Source organism: Homo sapiens, chromosome 10 (assembly GCF_000001405.40).
Source record: "Homo sapiens chromosome 10, GRCh38.p14 Primary Assembly".
Lineage (NCBI taxonomy): Eukaryota > Metazoa > Chordata > Mammalia > Primates > Hominidae > Homo > Homo sapiens.
Genome location: NC_000010.11, coordinates 114,125,634 through 114,153,396, shown reverse-complemented (window position 1 = coordinate 114,153,396; position 27,763 = coordinate 114,125,634). Strand labels below are relative to the sequence as shown.

Here is a 27,763-nt window from a genome sequence, read left to right as displayed (position 1 = left end):
GTCATCTAGTACTTTCTAATTTCCCTTGCAATTTCTTCTGTGTTTCTTTAGCAGTATGTGGTTTAATTTTCACAAATTTGTGAATTTCCCATATTTCTTTCTGTTACTGAGGTCTCATTCCATTATGGTTGGAGAATATGCTTCATATGATTTTAATCTTTTAAATTTATGGAAGTTTGTTTGTAACCTAGCATATCCTCTGTCATGGAATATTCCATGTGCACTAGATGAAAACGTATACACTGCTGTTCCTGGGTGGAGTGTTGTATAGATGTATTAGATTCCATTGTTTTGTAGTGTTTAAGTCTCCTATTTCTGTGTTAATTTTCTGCCTAATTCTATTTATTATTGAAAGTAGGATAGTGAAGTCTCCAACTATTGTTGACTTATTTTCCCTTTTATTTCTGTTAGTTTTTGCCTCATATATTTTGATGCTACATTCTTAGATGCATATACATTTATCTGTTAGATCTTTCTGATGGCTTGATCTGTTTTATTTTTGTGAGCTATTCTTTATCTCTGGTAACATTCTTAATTTTAGTCTGTTTTTTATGTAAATATAGCCACTCTTCCTTATGATTGCTGTTTGCATTATATATTTTTTTCCACTCTTTTCAGTTTACTTGCATTTTGAACCTAAAATGCCTTCTATAGACAACATATAGTTGAATCTTGTTTCTTTAATTAAGTCTGTTAGTTTCTGCCTTTTGATAGGATTATTAAATCCACTTTCATTTAATATTATTGATGGTGGGATTTATGTCTGCCATATCTTTCGTTTTCCATGTTTCATGTCTTTTTTCTTCCCCTATTCCTCCTTCACTGCCTTCTTTTGCATTAAGTGAATGTTGTCCAATATAACATTTAAATTTCTTTCATGATATTTTCACTATACAGTACAGAGTTCCCCCTTATCTGAGGGGAATTTATTCCAAGATCCTAAGTAGATGCATGAAATTGTCAATAGCACTGAACTCGATTGCCATCAATCAGAATATGTTTCTGTTTATGTCTGCCCCTGACAAGTGAATGCCCTTTTCATCCTTTTTTTTTTTTTTCAGAGACAGGGTCTCATCACTCTGGCTGGCGTACCATGGTGGGATCACAGCTCACTGTAGCCTCAAACTCCTTGGCTCTAGCAATCTTCCTGCCTCAGCCTCCTGAGTAGATGGGACTATAGGCATGCACCACCATGCCCAGCTAATTTTTAAAATTTTTTGTAGAGATTGGGTCTTGCTGTGTTGACCATGCTGGTCTTGAACTCCTGACCTCAGGCAATTCCCTCTCCTCAGCTTTCCAAAGTGCTGGGATTACAGGCATAAGCCACTACCTGGCTCCTTTCCCGTCTTAACAAAGTACTTATGCAGTGTGGCCATAACTTTTGAAGTTTGAGGTGTGACAGCAAAACTAGCATGAATTTCTTTTTTCTTCTTCACAGTTTCATGGATAGAAGATTCATTCTTACTGTAGATCTTAGCAACCTCAGTATATGATTTTTTTCTTTCAAGTCACCATTTCACTTAAAATAAGCACTTTAAAGCCTCTCTTTGGCACATGTGAATTGCCAGCATCACTATTCTTATACTCTGGGGCCACTAATAAGTAAACTCACTTATTAATTAAGGGCTAAGTGTTGCTGCACACAAGCACTGTCGTCCTGCCATAGTCAGTCTGGTAACTGAGATGGCTACTAAGCGACTAACTGGCAGGTAGTGTGTACAATGCAGACATGCTGGACAAAGGGATGACTCACAGTCTCAGTGAGACATAGTGAGACAACACAAGTTTTCATCACACTACTCAGAATGGCATGCAATTGAAAACTTGTGAATTATTTCTGGAAGTTTTTATTTAATATTTTTGAACTGTGGGTGACTGAAGGTTGCTGAAACCATAGAAAGTGAAGCCACAGATAAGGCGGGACTCTACTGTATTTCTTTGTGTTATTCCTTTGTGGATGTTCTAGGGGTTGCCAGATACCTTAACTTAATGGAATCTCCAGATTTTTACTAAATGACAGTGAGATATAGAAACATTGCTAAAAGTTTTTATTTCAATAGCTGAAGTATATTCATTGTATTCTTTATGTTTATTTACTTTGTTTATATTTATTTGCAGTATTGGTGGTGTATTTGGTATAGCTATAAAAATAATTTGGAAATAATTTTCTTTACAGTTAGAATCAAGAATAGAAGAACTTAATAAAGAAGTTAAAGCTTCCAGAGATCAACTAATAGCTCAAGACGTTACAGCTAAAAATGCAGTTCAGCAGTTACACAAAGAGATGGCCCAACGGATGGAACAGGTATTTCTCACATCGTTGTCATTATTAACTTGATATTCTGGTGACTCTTGTTTGTTAAAATAAGCTAACACTGTTAGACTATTTTGGACCTCACTATTGTATTAATACTAGGTGATTCTTTTATATAAAAGTAAGCCATTAGGCCAGACGTGGTGACTCACATCTGTAATCCCAGCACTTTCAGAGGCTGAGGCAGGCAGATTGCCTGAGGTCAGGAGTTTGAGACCAGCCTGGCTAACATGGTGAAACCCCATCTCTACTAAAAATACGAAAAGTTTAGCCAGACGTGGTGGCGCATCCCTGTAGTCCCAGCTACTTGGGAGGCTGAGGCAGGAGAATCACTTGAACCCGGGAGGCGGAGGTTGCAGTGAGCCGAGATTGCACTGCTGCACTCCAGCCTGGGTGACAAAGCAAGACTCTGTCTAAAAAAAAATAGTAAGTCATTAAAAATTCTAAAGCAATATATAAATACATACAGATGAATAAAAAAGTGTATGGAATAAAAATTTTTTTTTTAATCTGTACATATTCTTCCCCTGCCTACAATCCTTTTATATCCCATTCCTTGTTCCATAGCTAATTATTGGTATTTTGATTATGTATCTTACTACATATACATGTACAAGTCACACATGTTTATTTGTACATGGTCATATACTTTTTTCCCCCATTTGATTGGAATGATACTATACATCTTTTTTGTAACCTTTTTTCCCATACTTAATATACCTTGGTAATCTTTTTAAGTTGGTATATATGATCTCAGAAGAGGTAATTTTAAGCAGTGCTTTTTTATTACTTGCCTGAACTCTTTATGGATGACGTCTTTGTCATCTTCATTTCTGTATCCACAAAACCTAGCACAGTATCTGACTAACAATTAGTCTTCACAATGAATTGAATCTGAAAGGGTTAACTCACACCTTCATTATTTGAATGTGATGGATCCCACCCTTTCTACCCCGAAGCTGCTACTGTAGATGGCATTCTGGAAGGACTTTAGGAAACAGATTATCCTCAGCCTTTATTTGGATGATTCTTTAAAACATGCTGACTCCTTGCATTAGAAATGTTATGTTTAACTCTCCTGCTATCAGTTCTGAACCCTTTTGTACCAATTGAAGGGAAATACAGAGCCTAAGAGCTTAAGAAGTAACTGGTTTTAGCGGGCCCAAACATAGCCAGCCAGTCATTAGAATCACCTGGTGAGCCAACCTGCCTGCCTGCCTGCCTTCCTGCCTGCCTGCCTGCCTTCCTGCCTTCCTGCCTTCCTGCCTTCCTTCCTTCCTTCCTTCCTTCCTTCCTGCCTTCCTGCCTTCCTTCCTTCCTTCCTTCCTGCCTTCCTGCCTTCCTTCCTTCGTCCCTTCCTCCCTTCCTCCCTTTCCTTCCATTCCATTCTTTTCTTTCCTCCCTCCTTCCCTCCTTTCCTTCCTTCCTTCCTTCGCATTCCCTCCCCTCCCCTCCCTTTCCTTCCCTTCCCTTCCCTTCCCTTCCCTTCCCTTCCCTTCCCTTCCCTTCCCTTCCCTTTCCTTTCCTTCCCTTCCCTTCCCTTCCCTTTCCTTCCTTCCTTCCTAAAACTCTTCGAAGCTTAATATTTAAAATAAAATAGTAGTTGGTGTACATGGTAGCAGTTCAAACATTTGAAAAAGTCTTCTTCCAAACATTTTACCCCCTTCCTAAAGGTAACCACTGATGCCAGTTTCCTGTGTATCCTTCCAAAAATATTTGTTGCATAGATTCTTGTGTTTTTTTCTTTTTTCCTCCCCTGGCTTTTAAAAAACAAATGGCAATGTACTGCACTCACTGCTATGTATGTTTTCTCCTTAATGATGAAGAGTGTAGATGATGCTAATAATAGTAGCTGATGTACTGACTTTTAGCTGTGTGCAAAGCCATGTTCAAAATACTTTACAAGTGTTAACTTGTTTGATCTTCACAACAACCCTAAGAAGTGGATATTATTAAAGTAGATTTTGGAAGACTGATCTATTTAATTATTAATAGATCTGTCTCATTCCTTTTTTCCCCCTAACTTTTCCTCCCAACTTTTTGAGAATTTTCAAGCATATAGAAAAGATGAAAGATTAGTAAAATGAACACTTGTTTATCTTTCATCTATTGTCACTAAGCCTAGTAAGTTTTGTTTAAAAATAGGTTCCCATATGTGTTTACCCATGTTCATGTGCACACGCACATTCACCTGCTTTTTAATTTCCAGATTGAGGTTTCCTCATTTCATAGACCAGATAGATAGAATGAATTTGAACCCTACTTACAAGAGAGTGTAGCTGTATTATAAATTTTCAGGGACTTGATAACATTTCCCCCACCCACATCTCCCATGGCCTGATATTAATAAGTATCACAGAGCAGTAAAGGTTTTAGCCCTAGTATACCATTCTGGATTTCTACTTTGTCTTAGATCTTTTAGCCCTGGAAATTTCCCATACTTTCTTGTGAGCTCAACTATATATTAAAAGATGTTTGTTATTTTTCATCTAAAATTTTTGGTGTATTGAATGAGGAGGGTTTATCTGCCATACTTGTAGAAGCTACACTTCATATACTTTGTGTTAATTTTATCTGTTGAGTCCTATTGATTATCTTATTCATGTTTTACTTATCTTTATCCAAGTCAATGATAATCATCTTACTTACAGTGGATAAATCCAAAGACCTTAATTGGCCTGTCTTCCTTTATCTGTGCCATAAATGGACCTTCTATAATAGCTTAAATAACAGTTATTGTATTGTCTTGTTTAATACTCCCAATGATGCTGTGAGGTAGGTGCTGCCATTAGCAGGATGGGGCAGGATCCAGGAGTGTGAACTTTTAACAAGCACCCCAGGTTATTCCTTTGCAGTTGATCTATGGATGACCCCATGAGTAACAGAGCCGTTATCTGGTGCGCCATTCCCTGCTATAGTGAAGACTCTCATAATATTTTCCGTTTATTTTTTTTGAGACAGGGTCTGTTGCCCAGGCTGGAGTGCAATGGTGCAATCATGGCTAACTGCAGCCTCAACCTCCTGGGCTCAAGAGACCTCCCACCTTAGCCCTCCCAAATAGCTGGGACTACAGGTGCACACCACCATGCCCAGCTAATTTTGTTTTTTGTTTTTTTTGTAGATAGGGGATTTTGCCATGTTGTCCAGGCTGGTCTCAAACTCCTGGGCTCAGGCGATCTGCTCACCTCAGTCTCCCAAAGTGCTGGGATTACAGGCATGACTCCTTGCATCCAGCCAAGACCCTCATAATATTTCACCTTGTCTATTACAACTGTCTTTTTTTGATTATTTTCTACCCCCTATCTCTCAACTTCAGTGAAGCTCCCATGCTGCTACCAGTTATCTTACTAAAACACACATTTTAATAAGAGCTTCTGATTTATAAATTCTTCTTTGGCTTTATGTTGACTATGGAATAAAACCTCAACTTATTACCATGACAGAAATTCTTCTTCCTTTGAGGATCTAATCTATACCTCTTTTTGTTTTTATAACTACTTTCTTCCCACTCCAGCCAACACACCAAATTTAAGCCCAATAAAATAACTTGATATCTCCTAAATGTGTCATGCTGTTTTATACTTTTAGGTGTTTGCACATGATATTCACTCTATTTTTAATTCCTTTCCTTGATTCACCCCTTACATTCTATAGAATTCTGCTTAGCCTTTAATACCTAGCTCAAGTATAGCATCTTTTACCCTTCCTGCCAACTCCTCCCAGGGGATGTAAGTATTTTCATGTTTTGAAGGACTTTGTACATTCATTTACTATAATTTTTCATATTATAATGTTTGTTTATATGCCTTTCTCACTAGATGGTGAGCTCTTTCAGAGGCCACAACTGCTACTTTGTTTCCAATAGATGATACATTATCTGAATATTAAATTATTATGAAACCAGACTTCTCTTAAAGTTGACATTGAGCTATTGACTTTTTCTAAGTACAGATATTCAGTTGTCTAAAAATCTAATTCTGTTGGCCAAGTCCAGCATAACTTTCTCAGTCTTTGTCTACAAGCACATTGTTACAACCTCGGGGCCTATCATATCCCTAATGCAATGTCTTTCTTAATTTGAAAATTAGTATGACTATTTCAATGGAAACAAATCCCAATTGGGAGATTTTTAAAATTACTTATATGTGTATGTATAGCATTCTCAGTGTTGACTAGATGTGCTTATCAGCAGTGCCAGAATTTTATGAAACATTTTTGCAGCCATTTTTCATCAAAGCATAGAAGCTTTCCCTACATTCTGCTCACTTTATTTTAATAGTTACCTTCTTCAATTCAGTTGCATCATCAGTGTTTATTTACCACTAAAAGATATTGAAAATTCCTAAAGTTTGAAGTTCTATCTTTTGTAAATTAAATGTGTGCTTCACCATATTTGCAAACCATGAGTTACTTCAAAGAAGGACTATTTGTAGAAGTTTTCATTCTGTGAAATTTCAGAATATGGAGTACCAGTTCATACTAATAGAAAATTTTTAAATGAGTATATAGTTTTCATACTTAATCCAGTTAGGTATTTCTTATTAAGTGTAAAATGCTTCAGAAAGCTTTACATAAATAGGAAATTAAATGGTCATTTGTTAGCATATGGCTACTTAATTTTCGAAAGGGAGTTAAGATTTTAGAAATTGTCGGCTATACAGTCAGGGTCCTGGCAGAAAACAGATGGCACACTTAAACCGGTGATGAAGATAATTTAATAAAAAGATTCTTTGTCAAGGTGTGGACAAGATGTAGGGATCCCAAAAAGGGAAGATGCAGAATTTCAGGGCTGCTGGACAAGGAGCAGGTATTACACCCCAGAGGGTAGTTGTATAGAGAGGGCACCTGACAAGGGGAGTGGCCATCAGCCAACCTGTGGGAACTCTGGAGGAGCCAGATCTCACTCTGCCTACGTTCCCAAGCTTCTGCCTACTGCCTTCTGTTGGGTGAACCCAACTGGAAGTTTGAGGGCAAGAGAGCTTATTGATAGGGTTCATGATGTCATCATGTTCCTGGGACACCAGTTGGGATTTAAAAAAAGTGGGAAAGGGGATCTGGAGGAGTACGTGGAAAATAGCAACCATATTAGCCGAAGTAAAAGGAACAGGAAAGGGTAAAGGCAAATGCTAGGGATATTGTACCATTTTTCTATAATTTTAAATTTTTTCTTTCATTTTAAAATTTCATGGCACAAGTCCTGGGAATGTTGTGCAAAAACCAAACAATGCATTGGTAATATAAGAGACAAATACCATGTATTTCAATACATTTCCATTTGAAACATTATTTTTCATTAATGCTAAGTAATATTTTTTTTGAAGGCCAACAAGAAATGTGAAGAGGCACGCCAAGAAAAAGAAGCAATGGTAATGAAATATGTAAGAGGTGAGAAGGAATCTTTAGATCTTCGAAAGGAAAAAGAGACACTTGAGAAAAAACTTAGAGATGCAAATAAGGAACTTGAGAAAAACACTAACAAAATTAAGCAGCTTTCTCAGGAGAAAGGACGGTTGCACCAGCTGTATGAAACTAAGGTATAACTTGTGCCATTTGAAATATGTTGACCTTATTTGAAATTTGTTCTCTTTGCTTTTCCATATTTAATCAAATAATCATAATTTAACATGGTTAACACTCAAACGTAAAGTTGTTTTTATTAGTTTACCTTCTAAAACCATGAATTTTTTAGTAATTCAAGTGTTCTATTACTTGTCTGCAGAGAAAAGGTTTGCTAGGGAAAAAATAAGTGTTGGCACATGTTGTTTATTAGATAACTTTTTCTTGAGCTTTCTAAAAACTTTCTTTTAAAATCTGTATGTTGGAGAAATTTGCATCTCAAGGGAAGATTATATTTTGGTAAAATATGTATATAGTAGTGTAAAATGAATAGTTTTAGAACCAGAAGTATAATTTGATATAATCTTAATATAACACATCACCATAGAAGAAAATTTATGTTTTTCTTACAGAAAAACATGTCTTTCTTAGATACTATCTAAAGAGATTTAGTTACTGAGCCAGCTATTCAGAACCCTTCCTGTTAACTAGCAGCCTCTCAATGGTCATATTTCCAGGGCATTATCATTTTTCAATGATAAATTTTTTTTTAATTCATTAGCTTTTAGTTCAGGAATATTGTCATTGTTCTCAGGAATTCTGACAAAACCAATTTAGTTCATATTTCACCTTAATGCCAGCCAGTTAAGAATCATAAAGATATGTTGTGTTGACAATACATCCAATTGGTTAAAATGTAAATGTAAATCATCTTTGTGTCTATTAATTGGATTTAGGATTTTACTACCCTCTTCTCATTTGGACTTTAAATAAGTTTTATAGTCTGTGGGCTATAGTGTGCCAGCCCTTGATTATAGTGTTACTGGACTGATTACTTTGTGGGGAATATAAAAGATATAATTAATTGATTCTATAAATGAAAATATATGACCTAGTGATATTATTTTAGGAAGGCGAAACGACTAGACTCATCAGAGAAATAGACAAATTAAAGGAAGACATTAACTCTCACGTCATCAAAGTAAAGTGGGCACAAAACAAATTAAAAGCTGAAATGGATTCACACAAGGTACGTACTGTAATACAATGGAATAATGATTAGAATGAGTTTTTTTGTTTTTGTTTTTGTTTTTGTTTTTTTTTTGAGACGGAGTCTCGCTCTTTCAGATTAGAATGAGTTTTAAGAGCAAATGCAATAACAGTTAATGAGGCATGAAGCTTAGTTTAGTGACCTGCAAGTTAGTTTGGACCTGAATATTTGGTGATTATGAAAAAGAAATGTCCTCACATTATTTACATATTAAATGGGGTGGGATGTTAAATTTTACTATTCATAGTTTGCAACACCCAAATTTGCCCTGTTCTTTAAGCATTTTTTGATATGCAAAATTTAAATAACACTGAGAAATTGGACGGGGGAGAATGTGTAAGTTTCCAAATTTGAATGTAAACTCTAGAAATTTTAAAAAATCAATGATGCTAAGATTTTATACTCAAAAAATATACATTCTTATTTAAATATAATATAAAGATTTTAAGAATAAGTTGCCTTAACTTTTTTATAAATATGACTCCATTGGTATTGTGCCTAGTGAATATAATTTTATTAAAAAGCTAATATAAGTAATTATAAAGGCTGATACCTGATGCCGTAATTTTAAGCACTAACTGAGCTGATATTAGAGGTAATAAAAATCTGAAGATGATAGAATGTGAAGTAAAAGAACAACTCTGAATTGTGACTTAAGAAGTGTAAGTTTATGAAAATATCAGTTTCCAGGTTTTCACAAACAGTCTTAATGATATTGGTTAAAATCATAATCGTGGATTACCGCATTAAATAGTTCTAAATCAGTAGAACTGCTAATAACCCTTGGTTATATTGTATTCTCTGATATAGCATTATCAGAGAAAACTGTAGGAGGAATAGTCTCTGTTGACAGTGGTCAAAGGTAGATTAGAGAATAGTGGGTTTCCCTCAAGTCTGAAGCTGACCTACTAATCAGCACATGTGTGAGGGAACTGCCAAGGCAGAGAAAGAATTTTCAGAAAGGAGGAGGATGACAGTCTCTGGAGCTCAACACGGCTAAGCCATCTAAATTTTCTCTTTACTTTGAGTTACAGAATGAGGAATTGAAATTCCAAATTCATAAAAACAGTAATGATTCTCAACTACCTGAGTTGCTTCAAGATCAGAACATCATACTTGGTCATGTCTGATATCTGTGGTACTTTCCTCATCTTCATCCAGAGTGCTAAGAGACAGGCTCCTGAAACCTGTTAGAATACTAGCACTTAGGAACAAAAGAACTGTTACAGATCTGTGTAAGAGATCTTAATGGCAGCTTTGAGCTCAGATGAAACCAGGTAGTCTGTAAATAGGTTAGAGAGGTGATTTAAGGCTGACTTCTGTAAGGTTACATGGTGCAGATTGCTAGAAAATGAACAAGCATATTGACTTGGTATGTAGAAATTCACTAGTTCTTTTTAACTAAAGGCATTTATTAACCAGCAAGCTTTGTGCATAACACTGTATTAGATAACTTGGAGGCTATAAAAGCCTTAGGAGACACAGTCGTTACTTTCAAAGAGTGTCCAAGATGGGCTCCCGGTTACTTGTTTTATGTATTTACCTATTGGATGTTGGAAGGAGTCCCTGGATCAAAGGATACAAGATTTAATAATCATGTGGTTATTATAGTCTACCTCTTGAGATGTGGGCAAGAGACACGAGACACTTAGTAAATTTTTCTTGAGGCACCCTTTCTGGTTTCTGGTTCCTGCCCACCAAGTCTTAGGTACTAATAATACTGCAGTCCTGTAGCTTACTGGATCCATTGTGATCAGTAGCTTCTGGTCAGACCCCCAGTGCATATTACCAGAACTTAAGAGTAGGTGGGCTGGCTACCCAGATCATCAGACTACCCAAGAGAAACAATTTGTTTCCTTCCCTAAACTCCTTTGGGATTTAACTGAAAATGTGTTTTAAACACCTAGCCTGTAAAAACAGAAGCCTTTTATTTGGAGTACAGTAAATAAAGATGAATTTCCCCCAGTGTACCTCATCTACTTGTTTGCCTACCTGGTTGCTACTTATTCACCTACCTGATATCAGGATGAGATAATCTCACTGAACGTATATACGGCTAGCAATAGATGTGGCTGTGGTTCTTTGGCTGCCATGGTTTGACTATGCTGGGTGCTTGCCAGACATAACTGCTTCAGAGAAAGCTAGAAGAATATTCTTGGACCCAGAAGCTAGACCAGCAGGAGGTTGTAGATGGTAATATAGTACAGGCCTAATGTGTGACAAGGGCTTGGTGTATTTTATGATATGTTCTGTACACTAGGTCACCCGAGGTAAGACTGTTGCTTAATAAGCTCTTCTCCCGAGGCTGTCGTGTTGTCAGTGATAGTGTCATTCTTAAATGGTTTGTTTACTCAGAAGGCCCAGTCATTAGAAGCCAGAATGGGCTTCTTATTTGCTTTGCCATTTTATCTCACTTAATAAAACTATATTCTATGTTCTATAACTGTAGTGTTCTATAACTGTATTCTATTGACTATATTGTATTATGGAATAACAAGGTCCAAATTTACCCTTCTACCTTAAAAAACAAAAGACAAAATATATGAAATGAAGGCTTTCAGACTTGAGACAACAGGCAGCATAGGACAGTGATCTCTGAGTGAAGGGAAACAAATGAGGTATTCCTGGAGAGTTCCAGTCTGCAGAACAAGAAGAACCTGGACAGCCCAGCAGTCTACCTGAATTGAGGAGATAGAGTTCAAAATATGGGGAACCAAGGCAGAGTCCCAGAAAAGAGAAAAATACAACAATGTGCAGTGAGTTCCCTTCAAGTCTTCAGCTGACTACTGATCAGTACATGTGTGCGTGCGTGCGTGTATGTGTGTGCGTGCGTGTGTGTGTGTGTGTTAAGAGAGGAAACTACAGAGGAGGGGGAAGAAATAGGGGCAACAATCCCTAGAGCTCCCACAAGGCTAGGAAATTGTTCATGTTTCCATCAGTCAAAGAGAAATGACCTCTCAACACACATCAGGCAGGGCTGCATCAAGCAGCCCCCAGAAGGTTATTGCTTTAGTTGTGAGGATGAATTTGCCTTAGATTAAGTCTGTTATAAATCTGCCTTAACAAAACTTTAAAAGCAAGCTTCAAATAATTTGTTTCAAGTAAATTTACTATGTCCCAAAACAAAGGCCCAAAATATTTAAATGACTACGAAGAACTCTGGCACCTAAAAGCATAAATTTACTGTGTTTGGCATCCAGTCAAAAATTACCAGGCATGCAAAGAGGCAGGAAAATGGAGCCCATCATGAGAAGGAAGGAACACTAGATCAGTAGGAACAGATCCAGGCACGGTGTCTCACACCTGTAATTCTAGCACTTGGGGAGGCTGAGGTGGGAGGATTGCTTGAGGTCAGGAGTTTGAGACCAGCCTGGGCAACATAGCGAGGTCCCCATCTCTACACAAAGAACTTTAAAAATTAGCCAGGTGTGGTGGTGTATGCCTGTAGTCCTAGCCACTTGGGAGGCTGAGATGGGAGGATCACTTGAGCCCAGGAGTTGAAGCTATGATCATGCCACTGCACTCCAGCCTGGGCAACACAGCAAGATCCTGTCCTGTGTCTTAAAAAAAAAAAAGATTCAGAAATGACATAAATAATAGAATTAGTAGACAATGAGGCAATGATGTTAAAGCAGCTCTTATAAATACATTCCATATGTCCAAGGAGATAGACAAAAGCATGAGTATGATAAGGAGAGACATGAAAGAGAAAAAAAACAGATTGACATAATGTCTGAACTGAAAAATACATTGGATGGAATTAATAGCAGATTAAAAACTGCAGAGGACAAGATTAGTGTACTTGAAAACATAGGAGTAGAAAACTATATGCTAGTGACTCCCAGATTTACAACTTCTACCCAGAACTCCAGATTCATATATTTAGCTGCTTATTTGACATCCAACATCTTGAACGACTTAAGGCAACTCCAGATTCATATATTTAGCTGCTTATTTGACATACGACATCTTGGATGACTTAAGGCATCTTAAACTTAACATGTCTAAAATTGAACTAAAAATGTACCCTTTCCTCCATTGCTTTCCTATGTCAATAAATGACAATCCATCCATCTCATTCCATCTCATTGCTCAGGCCAAAAGCCTTGGATTTATCCTTAATTTCTCAGTTAGCATATCCAGTCCTTCAGCAGATCTTCTTGCTCATGTCTTTTTAGTCTGTACTCACCTAGCACCTTCTCAATGAGACTTTCCCCAGGTATTCTATCTAAACTTTCATCTCTCCAAACTTTCATTCTATCCGGACTTTCTCATGTCCTTGCTTTATTTTTATTCCTTAGCACTTGCTACTAGTATGTTTTACTTATGTATTGTATTTAGTGTCTCCATTACTAGAATATGAGCTTCATGAAGGTGAGATTATGTTTGTTTTCTTATACAGTATGTCCCTGGAGCATAGAACAATGCCTGGTGCATAGATGCCCAGTGAATACTGAATGAATGAATAAGTGAAACACAGTCAATACCTTAACCAAAACATTTAATGTGATTCTCACTTTTCCCTTACTCATTTATTTAATAAATATTTATTTGGCATATGGGAATCTCTCAATTGCTATTTTTTGAGCGAATGAAGTGCTTACTATGTGCCAGGCTCTTTTTAGTTATTAATGATATAGTAGTAGAAAAACATATATAAAGTTCCTTCTCTCTGTCTCTTTTTCTCCCTCCCTGTCCATTGAGTCTAGTATTTTAAAAAGTCAATATTTGAAAAAATAAATAATTGCTTATATTTTAAAAGTGGTACTAAGTTTTAATACAAGTCAAATTATTATTAAAAACTAGCAACTGAAAATATATAACTTTCAGTACTTACATGGTAGATTTATTTTTTTTAATGACATGTAAGAAACAGTTTATTTTTGTTTTTTTTTCTTTTCTTTTTTTTTTTTGAGATGGAGTCTTGCTCTGTTGCCTAGGCTGGAGTGCAGTGGTGCGATCTTGGCTCACTGCAACCTCTGCCTCCCAGGGTCAAGCGATTCTTCTGCCTCAGCCTCCTGAGTAGCTGGGATTAGAGGCATGCACCACCACACCCGGCTAATTTTTGTATTTTTAGTAGAGACTGGGTTTTGCCATGTTGGCAGGGTTGGTCTTCAACTCCTGACCTCAGGTGATCCATCTGCCTCGGCCTCCCAAAATGCTGGGATTACAAGCATGAGCCACTGCACCTGGCCTATTAATGCAATTTAGATGGTTCAAGAGATGCAGGGAAAGGCATTCCCATGTGGAGGAACAGCAAAAAAAAAAAAAAGGAACAAAGGGAGATGAGTATTGGGTATTTGGGGAACCCAACCTAACTAGAGGCTTATATTAGATATTCCTGTATTAATTCAACAGATAGTAGTCGAACAATTAATATGTGGCAAGTATTGAGTTAGTCGCTATCGAGAAGCTATATGCTGTATTAGGGGAACATATAAGCTATAGTATAATGTATTGATCATTAGAATCCAGGGCATGCCTAAATTATATCTATGGAAAAGCAGAGTAGGCGGCATCTGATCTGCCTTTTTTCTGAAGGGAAGCTACTGAGAGGAGATGATACCAAAAGTCCCATTTGAAATCCACATGATAAGCAAAACCATGGATCAGTTTGCTTAGGGAGAATTATGAAGAAAGAGCTCCATGGCCAGGCTGTATCTTGGAAAATCACCACAGGAAGTAAAAGCCAGTCAGGGAACAATGAAGAGGGCAGAAAGAGAAGGAGAATATTGTCCTGTAATGGAAACAGGAAGGATATTGAAAGAGTCAGGGGTGATCAGAACCGGAGCAAGTAAGTAAAGAATAAGAAGAAGAAGAAGTAATTGGATTTAATACGGGTAGCCCCTGAAAACTTTCAGAGTTGCCATCTTAGGAGAATGGTTAGGAACAGAAACCAAATTGCAGCATCAGTCTATAAAAAGACAGTTTGGGAGGCTGAGACAGGTGGATCACCTGAGGTCAGGAGTTTGAGACCAGCCTGGCCAAAACCTATCTCTACTAAAAATACAAAAATTAGCTGAATGTGGTGGCACATACTTGTAATCCCAGCTACTCAGGAGGCTGAGGCAGGAGAATCACTTGAACCCAGGAGGCGGAGGTTGCAATGAGCCGACATCACACCACTGTACTCAAGCCTGAGTGACAGAATGAGACGCTGTCTCCAAAAAAAAAAAAAAAAAAAAGTTTTTATGTTTTGTTTTGTTTTGTTTTGTTTTGTTTTGTTTTGTTTTTTTGTGACAAAGTCTCACTCTGTTTCCCAGGCTGGAGTGCAGTGGTGCAGTCTCGGCTCACTGCAACTGCTGCCTCCTGGGTTCAAACAATTCTCCTGCCTCAGCCTCCCGAGTAGCTGGGATTACAGGTGCCCACCACCATGCCTGGCTAATTTGTGTATTTTTTTTATTTTTTTTTTTTTTTTTTTTTTTTTTTTTTTTTTTTGAGACCGAGTTTCACTCTTGTTGCCCAGGCTGGAGTACAGTGGCGCAATTTCGGCTCACCGCAACCTCCGCCTCCTGGGTTCAAGTGATTCTCCTGCTTCAGCCTTCCTGAGTATCTGAGGTTACAGGCATGCGCCACCACACCCGGCTAATTTTGTATTTTTAATAGAGACGGGGTTTCTCCATGTTGGTCAGGCTGGTCTCAAACTCCCGACCTCTGATGATCTGCCCACCTCAGCCCCCCAAAGTGCTGGGATTACAGGCATGAGCCACCATGCCTGGCCAATTTTTTTATTTTAGTAGAGACGGGGTTTCACCATGCTGGTCAGGCTGGTCTCAAGTTCCTGATCTTAGGTTATCCACCCGCCTCCACCTCCCAAAGTGCTGGAATTACAGGCGTGAGCCACCACGTCCGGCCAAAAGACGGTTTTAAATAGATACCACAGCCGTAAACCAAAGAATTGTCTTTGATGTGTGTGTACAAAGAACTTAACACTTTGCTCATCTTATCAGGTTAGTAACTTCTAGTAATTTGCTGAAAACTGTCAAATTTAACTGTATTTAATGGCTATTAGTTAACTCTACAGATCATTTTAATTTTTTGTCAGAAACATAAAATATTATTGCTAGAATAATAATCGGCCCCTCAGTGACAGTGCTAGGACAAGAACCTTCCTACTTGCCGGTCACTTCTTACCATTCATCACGTTGCTGTACCCAACTGTGTCTCTGTCTTTTGTCAATGCAGGAAACCAAAGATAAACTCAAAGAAACAACAACAAAATTAACACAAGCAAAGGAAGAAGCAGATCAGATACGAAAAAACTGTCAGGATATGATAAAAACATATCAGGTATGCATAACTTTTAAAATAGATTAGTATCAAATTTTAGCAAATATCAGTTCTCTCTTTTTCTTTTTTTAGATGGAGTCTCGCTCTGTCGCCCGGGCTGGAGTTCAATGGCACAGTCTCGGCTCACTGCAACCTCTGCCTCCCGGGTACAAGCGATTCTCCTGCCCCAGCCTCCCAAGTAGCTGGGATTACAAGTGCCTGCCACCACACCTGGCTAAATTTTGTATTTTTAGTAGAGAGGGGGTTTCACTATGTTGGCTGGGCTGGTCTCGAACTCCTGACTTCGGGAGCCACCCGCCTCAGTCTCCCAAAGTGCTAGGATTACAGGCATGAACCACTGTGCCTAGCCAGTTCTCTTGTTTCATTAAATTTCTATATGTGCAATATTCTACATCTGCATATGGAATGTACTTTGTTGGGCAGGCAGTTAAATGAAATGCAGGTTATTTCCAATGTTAAAGTACCTGCAACTTAAATGGATTTTATAAGAGAACTTTTCCAACAAATAAAAACCCTAGAAAATGTCAGAAGAATGAAGAGTGCAAGGAAATGTATAACTTTAGGTTAATAACCTAATAACTTAGGTTAATAATTTTAGGTATACTATGTATTTCACAATTAATAAACTTAATTGCAATGCTTTCTTTTCAAAGTATAAAACTTTAACCCATTTCCTATTTAGAAAAAAAGTGCAGCTTGCTGCCAGCGCTCATTTAATTTTACATAAACACACTCGAGGATGAAACAAATCTGACTGATTTTCAGTGGAAGATAAAATAAAAAAACTGTTCTTGGAGTTATTTCTAAACAGAACTTGTCTCTTATCCTAACGTAACAGAAATGTATATGATGCTACATTAGGATTAGAGACGAGTATTCTCAGGGCAAACGGGAAATGGGTTAAAAATTGTCACACTTTTTTTGTTTTCTTTCCACTAGGAGTCAGAAGAAATTAAATCAAATGAGCTTGATGCAAAGCTTAGAGTCACAAAAGGAGAACTTGAAAAACAAATGCAAGAAAAATCTGACCAGCTAGAGGTGAGTAGTTTTGCTCTTTATATATCCTAAGTTGCATAATAAATACAGAAAGAGAAATAGTGAGAACTTATTGCTATCTACTTTTAAGGCCTTTTGGAAGGAACAGGCAATAAATCTTAGATATAGTTTAGCACATTATGATTTGTTGTTTCTTTTAAACTTTTTTAAAGATGCATCATGCCAAAATAAAGGAACTAGAAGATCTGAAGAGAACATTTAAGGAGGGTATGGATGAGTTAAGAACACTGAGAACAAAGGTAATTCAGTCTTTAGTCATGAATCCAGAGGAAGGGTAAATATCTTAAATTTTGAATTCATTCTGATTTTTAAAGTGGTGGGGAAAGGACATTAATATAGAAATGTTCCATAATAAAGGAACTCAGTAGAGTAGAGGAGCAATTTCCTAGCAACTTCTTTTGTTGAAAGGAAAATGTCTTCCATGTTAGTCCCTTTGAAGTGTTTGCCAAACATTACTATTTCACAGCACATTTGCTGTGTCTATAGCTTATCCTTGGGCTTCTCATCTAAAGGCAGTCTCATCAACGAATCAATTGGAAAGATAGTTGGACCTTAGAACTGTGTCAGAAAATAACAGGAAGGCTATATTTTTCCTGGATATATTTAATAGATGGATAGTTTTAATGGCCAATAATCTGTTAAGTCCTCTTCGTGTTTATAGTCTTTATTGTAAGATTAGTATGTCTTCTAATATGAATATGAATGTGTATCATTCATTTATTTAGAAGTAGTCCTTTAACCACCCTGAATTTGAGGTCACTTAATAATTTTAAATTGTTTTTCATACACCTTCTTATTTGTTCTTCTTGCCAGTTTTTTGAGGTAGAGGAGATATATTCTTTTTCAGGTGAGGAGATGGTGATTCAGTAAAAAGTGAAATGACATGCTAAAACTCCCATGACTGAATCATAAGAAATCTGAGACTAAAAGCTAGGATTGTAAACTTCGCATTATATTTTCTTCACGTTAATGGTGCTTTAGAATTTTTAGATTATTCATATGTAACCACTATACAAAATAGTTTATAAAGAACAAGAATACATGGTTTGTAACTTGGTTGTGATCATTTGATAGGTGAAATGTCTAGAAGATGAACGATTAAGAACAGAAGATGAATTATCAAAATATAAGGAAATTATTAATCGCCAAAAAGCTGAAATTCAGAATTTATTGGACAAGGTGAAAACTGCAGATCAGCTACAGGAGCAGCTTCAAAGGTACAAAATGAGCAACTTCTGTTTGTATTAATAAGCAAGCTTTTAAATTTTATTTCAAGATTTTCTAAATGCAGTTATTGCATTAAACAAAAAATTTTACAATTTTACTAGCTGAAATTTTTAAATATTTTCTCTTTATCTGAACTTCTTTGGATTATCTTTTGAGTTCTGTCATGGCTTCTAAAAATCAAAGTTTATATTCCTTAAACATTGGTAGTGGCAATTTATAAGACAGAATAGGTTGAGTCTCTTATCCATTCCTTAGCTTTCAAATTCTGTTACTTATGCACAGTGTTTACTTTTTCTTCTAAAAGGTAAATCTTGCTCTAGATCTTCGCACGTGTGTAGCTTAAGATCCGGAGCTGACATTATTCCTTGGCTCCTTATAAAACCATTTAAGTAAACTCTACTTGTGACATTACCAGACAGAACCTGGATTCAGTTTGAAGCCAGATAGCTTCTTTTCCACACCTTGCTGATAACTAAGCTGCTGAGTGTTGCTAAAAAAATCCTTACCATCATTTAGATTGATTCTGCTAATAAATTCATGGTCACTAACCTGAACTGGAAATATTAATGCACCTAATCTTACCATGTGTCTTTGGTCAGAGGTTCTCCACCATCTTCTAGCATCTTTTCTAAACCCTACCATTTTCTTCACACTTCAGTTTTTCCTCTTACCTTTCTATTTACTCTTGGCAAGTGTTTACTTCTTCACAGAAAAAATGGGAGCTGTCAGGTGACAGTTGTCTCAACGTTTTGCCATCAGTCCCATGAACTGCCTGCATCTGCAGCCATATTTTCTGCTGTTATCATGGAAGAAACAATCTTGTTATCATGGAAGAAACTCCTCTGAATCAAATTAGTCTTTCTACTTCCGCTATGGATTTCATCTCTTCTGACTTTTTGGGTTCTGTCTTGATTATTCTTCTTTATCCTTTATGTCTTACCTTTCTCCACTTTCTTTTTCTTTCTACATTTAAACATAATTGTCTTTTAAAAATATCAAAACTCCTGTGGCTTTGCCCTGCCAGCTTTTCTCCTTTCCTTTGCAGCCAAACTTTATATAATCTTCTGTATTCATTCTCCGTTTCCTCACTTCCTATGTTCTGTACCTCTCCACTTCATTCTAGCTTTTACCCCAACATTTTATTAAAAATTACTGATGTATCCCTGCATATGGTAGACACATTTCAGACCCACCCTTGCTTGAATTCTTATCATCTTTTAACACTGTCGAATTCAGTTGTCTTTCTTGATAGGCTTGTTCCTTTGGCTTCATTTCCATCACATGCTGATGTTCCTCTCACCTTTTTGGCAACTCTCTCTCAATCTCCTTGGCAGGCTTCTCTTTCTCTCATAATGCCCTCTTGTTCTAATTTTATTGTAACTTTGGGTGATCCCAACTATTTTTATAGTATGCTGCAGGACTTTTGAGTCATTATCTTTAGCCCTTTTCACTAAGCTCCAGGCACAAGTATTAAAGATACCTCAAACTTTAGCATTTCCAAAATCGGTTTCTCTGTCCCATGCTTCTCCTCACATGTTCCTAGGATGAATGATGAGTGCAGCATCCATGTGACTGTCCAGCTTAGCAGGCTGGGGGCCATCCTCAGCTCTTCTTTCCTTCCCCTCACACATCTAACCAGTCACAAAGTATTAGTGATGCTAAGTCTGTAACATCTGTCAAGTCCATTCACTTTTTACTTCCCTGCTGCTACTACCATAGTCCAAGCTATTAGCAGCTCTCACCTGGAAAACTGCCACAGTTTGTATTTTTTCTGCTTATATCCTCTCTAATCTGTTTTCCACACTATGGTTAGTATAATCCTTTTTAAAAGGAAATTTCAAAACTCTTCATTGATTTCCCACTGCCTCAGAGATTGTCTAGTGAGTTCCATTGCCTTAGCATGGCTTGTAAGATTAGTGACCTGTCCCTTGCTGCTTCCATGCCTTCCCTTTTTTCACCCTTGTATTTCAGCTGTAGTTGATTAACAGATGTTTATGGATTGTTTCCTATTTCCCAAACCCTGTGTTAAGTGCTAGGGATATAGTACAGTCTTTCTCTTCATCAATATTGAACATCTGTTAGGACCAACAAGAAGCCTCTTATTCCCTTCCCAGTTTTTAGCACATACTGTTTGTTCCCTTTACCTGGAGCATATTTTGTTCTCCAGTAACTCCTGCTTTGCCTTTAGGTCAGGGATCAACCATGGCTTACAAAACAAATCCAGCCCACTACCTCTTTTAGTAAGTGAAGTTTTTTTGGAACACATCCACACTCATTCATGTAATATCTGTGGCAGTTTTCATAGTACAATGGCAGAGTGGAACAATTGCAGCAAAACCATATGACCCAGAAGCCTAACTTATTTACTATCTGATCTTTTACAGGAAAAGGTTGCTGACTCCTGCTTCAAGTATTAGTTTGAGCATCACTTACACTAGTTTAGGCAAACCCACTCTGTGCTTTTATCATAAAAAATGTTTTTTTACACATATAATTTCCACACTTGACTAAAAGCTCTTTGAAAGCAGAGGCCATGTTGGTCTTGCTCACTTTTCTTTCCAGCTCTTATTTCCTGGCATATATTAGGCATTTATAAATATTTGGATGAATGAATAGAAGTACCTTTATTAAGCATTTGACTAGATGAAAATTCCCAAACCATTAATTTAATGTCTTTTAATGGTTTATTTTTTCTTAAATATAAATTTTGTGTTTTAGAGGTAAGCAAGAAATTGAAAATTTGAAAGAAGAAGTGGAAAGTCTTAATTCTTTGATTAATGACCTACAAAAAGACATCGAAGGCAGTAGGAAAAGAGAATCTGAGCTGCTGCTGTTTACAGAAAGGCTCACTAGTAAGAATGCACAGCTTCAGTCTGAATCCAATTCTTTGCAGTCACAATTTGATAAAGTTTCCTGTAGTGAAAGTCAGTTACAAAGCCAGTGTGAACAAATGAAACAGACAAATATTAATTTGGTAAGTATAAATTTACATTTTTTTTAAAACAACGTAACAAGCACAAATTAAATTTCCCTAACAGTATAAAAGTAATAGTAGTTGAATTAAGTTCTTTCCTGGACACTGACTTTCTGACAATTTCAACTGCTGTAAGAAATGTCAGTTTTTCCTCAACTGTTATAATTTATAATAAAATTTCTTCCTAAAATGATTATGAATAATATTTTACTTTTGAAAATGAGAAAACTGGTTTGTGTCCTTCCTGACTAGAATCACTGTATATTTTTAAAAGGTACTTTAAATTTCTATTTTTATAATTTATGAGAGTGTCTTCAAGTTACTCATAAAAATGATTTGAGACTTTAGTCCAAAAATTCAACAACCTGTATCACATGTTGCTTGGTATGTATAGAATGACATTCTCCTTAATGTATCCCCCTGCTTTTCTATATGAGAACTGTGAGAAGCTCAAGTAAACAAAAGCTGATAAGGAATAATAATAGAAGAATCTCCACTGTCAAGAACCTTAGATTGTTAAGGTTATATAAACTGAGCATTAATGGAAACAAACATACTAAAATTGGTGGTTTTTGTTTTACTTACTATTCAGGAAAGTAGGTTGTTGAAAGAGGAAGAACTGCGAAAAGAGGAAGTCCAAACTCTGCAAGCTGAACTCGCTTGTAGACAAACAGAAGTTAAAGCATTGAGTACCCAGGTAGAAGAATTAAAAGATGAGTTAGTAACTCAGAGACGTAAACATGCCTCTAGTATCAAGGATCTCACCAAACAACTTCAGCAAGGTATAAAATTCTTCCACACTTAGACCATGAATGTGTTTGTTTCTTTTAATCATTAGGATTTTATTTTTTGTGATTCTGCCACATTGATTGAAGCTGTATGTTTTCTTTGTTAATATTAGTAAACCAAATTGTTAAACTTCTTGGAATTTCATGACCGATCTTTTATCCTAAAGGATATCTTGTATGCTAAAGGACATTTACTCACAGAATCACAAAACATGAGAATTGGGAAAGCAATGTTAGGGCATTAGTATCTAAACTTTTGATCACATACTCCTGTCAATAAAAAGTGCTTAGGCATTTGTTATCCAATTTAGATATGTTTATTTATACATTTTAAACATGTGTTAGTCTTTTATATATATTAGAACATATGAAAAATAGAAATTTAAAATAATCTATTTTTAAATATCAGTATAAATAGCAGTTCTGATATCTTCTTTTACATTCCTGTGATTTCTTTTGTGCTGCATCTAGGCTACCGGCATCTAGGGTGCAGATACCCGAGATGCGTCCTCTGACTTGGAAATCGTTGCGACTTAACTCTTCACCTGGGTTTCAAGAAACAGACCCCAGAAAGTTATAAATTACCCAGACATAACAATTGACTGCTGAACTGGATTCCAGATTTCTTTCTTTTAAAAAGTCATACAGTCATTGGGTGTCTGTGCTATATGCTTGGGATACAAAAATAAATAAGACACGTATTTCAACCTCCTATTCTCTACTATTTCTCACGGCTTTATTTGTGTTAAAATAGGGTGAAATATAGTAATAAGCTAAAAGGGACTTAGCATTTACTTAATACAAATATATTCAGATATTTGCCATAGAGTTTAGTTTGTTTTTATAGATGTAATTGAAGGGAAATTTGGAAGAAATTTCTGGTACTGTAAGGAACTTCTAAATCTTTCAATACTTTAAAAAGTTAACTCCACTGTAATTAAGTGATGCCAGTGTCAGTTATAATGTTGTTTCTGTATATTTTGTACTTGACTTTTACATTTCCAAATGACATTTTATATGAATGACATAGCCCTCTGCCTAAAGTATGTATTCAAGAACTTTCTCTTGTCTATGCCATTTTTGCCTCAGTGATTTTAGCAATTAAAGTCAGAGATGGTAGGAGCAAATGGTCCTGATAATTGTGACGAATAATCTTCTTTTTCCTATAGCACGAAGAAAATTAGATCAGGTTGAGAGTGGAAGCTATGACAAAGAAGTCAGCAGCATGGGAAGTCGTTCTAGTTCATCAGGTAAAAAACTAGTGGCTCTAGTTGTTATTTCATGATTGATATAAAAATAAATAGCATTTTTGGCCAGGTGTGATGGCTCACACCTGTAATCCCAGCACTTTGGGAGGACGAGATGAGTGGATCACCTGAGGTCAGAAGTTCAAGACCAGTCTGGCCAACATGGAGAAACCCCGTCTCTACTAAAAATACAAAAATCAGCTGAGTGTGGTAGCTCACGCCTGCAATCCCAGCTACTCGGGAGGCTGAGGCACGAGAATCACTTGGAGGTGGAAGTTGCAGTGAGCTGAGATCGCATCACTGCACTCCAGCCTGGGCAACAGAGCAAGACTCTGTCTCAAAAAATAAATAAATAAATAGCATTTTTTATTTTAAAAAGTATTGATATGCTTTGTTTCATTTTGAAGTATGAAAAATTGTGGTTATATATAATTATATTGTAAAAAATGTTTCTGGTTAAATATTTAAGTTCTACTCATGACCTGGGGTTTCAGATTTGTCATGGGGTTCTATGTGATGATCTGTCTCCCTACCTTCTTTTTTATTCGTTGTGTTTTCTTTTTCTTTCTTTTTTTTTTTGAGACAGGTCTTAACTCAGTCACCCAGGCTGGAGTGCAGTGGTGTGACTTTGGCTCCCTGCAGCCTCAATCACAATCTTCCCACCTCAGCCTCTCAAGTAACCGGAACTATAGGCACTTGCCACCACGCCTAGCTAATGTTTATTTTTTGTTTTTATGTTTTTGTTTTGTTTTTTGTATAGACAAGATCTCACTATGTTGCCCAGGCTGATCTTGAACTCCTGGCTTCAAGTGATCCTCCCACCTTGGCCTCCCAGAGTTCTGGGATGACAGGCTTGAGCCTCCGCGCCCAGCCCCTTCTTTTTTCTAGCCTGCTGCTGCTTTATTCTGTGCAACAGCTTCCTCTTCCGTTTTTTAAAATTGAAATTTACGTTAATTCATACAAAGAGATTTGGTGTACAGTGGTCTCTCTCTTTTTCTTTTAACACCCAAGAACAAATGAAGATGTCATCATTGTGTATCAGATTTTTACATATATGTGCACATGTATATATTTTTACATCTTTTAGTTTTTCTCATGATATACCTATGTCCTAAAGTAAAAATGGGTAGAGTCTATAAAATTATGATTGAACCCATTGTGAAAATGATAATTAGCAAAATATCAGTGTTTGTGTCTTTTTTTGGAATGCCAAGAACCATGCTAAGCACTTGAAACATACCATTTACCCTGCAAAAAATTCATGTGAGGTAGGTATTATAATTCCCATTTTACAGATAAGGAAACCAAGATTCAGAGAGGCTGCATGATTCACCCAAAATCCACAGTGAGAACTCTTTGACTCCACAGTCCTTGCTTGGCAGTACACTATATTGCCTCCCAGAGGTTGCACATTAGGAGAAAACCATCATCAGTTGTTACAATAGTGGGAAAAAATGTGTAGTAGAAAGAACATGGATTTGAAATTATAGACATGTATTTAGATCCCAGCTCTGCCATTTATTCATTATATAACTTTGGATAAGATATATTACTTAAAGCTATAAAATCGGATTGGAAAAAACTAATCTTTGTAGGGTAAAGAGGATCAGATTCTTCTCATTGATGTTGGTAAAAGTAATACCTAACACTACATAATGCTTACTATATGCCTTTTTCTAAGCATTTCACATGTATTCATTTAAATGAGGATAACAATCCTGTGAGGTAAATAATATCATTTATGCCATTTTAAGATGACATAACCAAGGCACAGAAAATTAAATACCTTGTCCAAAGTCACACAGTTAGTAAGTAGAGGAGTAGTATTTGAACCTAGACAGGCTGTCCTCAGAGCTTAACCCACTATATTCTAACCTCTCTTTTTCTGTCTCCTCTCATACCTCTGTTCCTCTCCTCCCTTCCTCCTCCTCTCTGCTTTGTTCTGTTATAGTTTAATTTTGGTCTCACTTTAGACTTGTTATTCTTTTTGAGATCCTTGTTGCTCTATTACCACTTCCTGAGAGATACAGTATAGACCCTGTTGGTACTTCTGTCACCAGTATATTCAGAAACCAGAACCTCAGCCACGTTGACCTGTGTTGTCTTCTGTGTCCAACTCTGTTAGAGTGAATATTTGAAATGATGCTGGAATAAGTAATATATGAGATGAGAGGTGATGTTAGATTAAGCACAGTATCTAAACCAATTTTTTTTGTCTTCAGGGTCCCTGAATGCTCGAAGCAGTGCAGAAGATCGATCTCCAGAAAATACTGGGTCCTCAGTAGCTGTGGATAACTTTCCACAAGTAGATAAGGCCATGTTGATTGAGAGAATAGTTAGGCTGCAAAAAGCACATGCCCGGAAAAATGAAAAGATAGAATTTATGGAGGACCACATCAAACAACTGGTGGAAGAAATTAGGAAAAAAACAAAGTATGTATTATTACGGTAGCATGATCGGTCTTCAAAATACCGTTACTCATATAGCAAAGTTACTGTTTTTAAAATTAGTCATATCAAGAACCTATCTTTCAAAAAATAATTATAGTTATTCAGTTCCCAGTCTTTTATGGTCACCTATTATGTTCTAGGTTTTGTGAATACTAAGATGAAATAAAACACGTCTTTCCTTTAAGGTGATAGAGAGTTCAGTCAGTGTTAATATTTTTAAGATACTTAAACAACTTTAGATTTTAAAAAGATAATGCTTTACTTAGCTTTTTATTTTCATGACTGTGGCTCTAAGAGGTATATATGGGGTTGTGGATTTTTTTTCCTGTTGGGTAGGATGTAGTGGGATAATTTATTGAGTACCTAGTAGTACAAGGCGCTGTGCCTGTGGCTTGGCGGTATCTCATTGATTGCTTACAACCACTCAGTGCGTGAGTTCTCTAATTTTGCAGATAAGTGGGGCTCAGGTCACATCACTAAATGTTCCAGGGTCACCGTTCATCCCCTGTGTGACAGACCTAGAGCTGGAGATCCAAACCCAGCTCTGAGTAACTCAGGAGTGCTGCGCCAAATTCCTCTCACAAATTCTGTTTTATGTAAATAAAAGTTTTTTTATATTGTGGGCCTTTTCCAATGACTTTTTAATTTTTATTTTGAAATAATTTTAGACTTATAGGAAAGTTTGCCTGTGACTTTTAAAAGAAAGAGCATAAAGTACAGCAAGTTGTAAGTCTAATAAGAGGAAAACAGAAAATATTAACAGAAATTGAGCAATAAAGAAATTGCTCAGCTAGGTATGGTGTCTCACACCTGTAATCCCAGCACTTTGGGAGGCCGGAGGCCGAGGCAGGAGGATTGCTTGAGGCTAGGAGGTCAACCAGCCTGAGCAACATAGCAAGACCCCATCTCAAAAAAAAAATTATTCAGGCATGGTGGTACATGTCTGTGGTCCTAGCTGCTCAGAAGGCTGAGGCAGGAGGATCGCTTGAGCCGATGCAGTGGAGGCTGCAGCGAGCTATGTTTGTGTCACTGCACTCCAGCCTGGGTGACAAAATGAGACCTTATCTCTTTAAAAACAAACAAAAAAGCTCAACTTTTGATTAATAAGGAAAGAAATAGAAAAGCAATGTTTATATGTCTTTACTCCGAATGCTACAATAGAACAAAAATGAGATAGTTTAAGAAACCATCTGAATAAGGAGAATTCTTTTCTAATATAGTTAGGTTATTAACCTAATATTTATTTTATGCTTATCTTTATGATTAGTTGACTTTTGCAGATTCCATTTTTTTTAATTCTACAAGTACACAACTGATACTATCATTTTGTTTTGCAGAATAATTCAAAGTTATATTTTACGAGAAGAATCAGGCACACTTTCTTCAGAGGCATCTGATTTTAACAAAGTTCATTTAAGTAGACGGGGTGGCATCATGGCATCTTTATATACATCCCATCCAGCTGACAATGGATTAACATTGGAGCTCTCTTTGGAAATCAACCGAAAATTACAGGCTGTTTTGGAGGATACGTTACTAAAAAATATTACTTTGAAGGTATTTGTGTTTCTCATTCACACACCAACCAGTAAACATGGCAAAATGATGCCTGTTTCACAGTCTGATCTAGCAATCAGCTGGGCTGTTTCTGTAATGCAAGGCAGTCATTTTACCCAAAGATGAAGTTTCGTGATTTTCTCTTTTTAAAAAGTATAGTTTTTTATATTAGGAAAGATGAAAAATAGCAAAAATTAATTTTGTATTTGACAGACACTAAGATGTCATTAAATTTGCATTGGATGGGCTTTG

The 27,763-nt window shown here is 36.7% G+C and overlaps 1 protein-coding gene across 5 annotated transcripts in view; it reads left to right on the top strand.

The window, feature by feature from the left end:
* CCDC186 (coiled-coil domain containing 186) overlaps nt 1–27,763 on the top strand; it is a 53,359-nt gene that overhangs the window by 20,824 nt on the left and 4,772 nt on the right. For 3 of the 5 annotated variants that reach the window (XM_011539915.4, NM_001321829.1, NM_018017.4), the window contains 12 exons: nt 2,177–2,305; nt 7,636–7,848; nt 8,781–8,900; nt 16,107–16,211; nt 17,151–17,249; nt 17,420–17,506; nt 18,342–18,484; nt 21,213–21,468; nt 22,061–22,250; nt 23,426–23,506; nt 25,726–25,936; nt 27,292–27,511. In XM_011539915.4, the coding sequence (XP_011538217.1) occupies nt 2,177–2,305; nt 7,636–7,848; nt 8,781–8,900; nt 16,107–16,211; nt 17,151–17,249; nt 17,420–17,506; nt 18,342–18,484; nt 21,213–21,468; nt 22,061–22,250; nt 23,426–23,506; nt 25,726–25,936; nt 27,292–27,511 (1,854 nt within the window). Of the gene's footprint in view, nt 1–2,176; nt 2,306–7,635; nt 7,849–8,780; nt 8,901–16,106; nt 16,212–17,150; nt 17,250–17,419; nt 17,507–18,341; nt 18,485–20,878; nt 21,469–22,060; nt 22,251–22,727; nt 23,507–25,725; nt 25,937–27,291; nt 27,512–27,763 lie in introns of those variants that run through there. The other 2 variants (NR_135815.1, XM_011539916.4) reach the window with 2 other exon arrangements.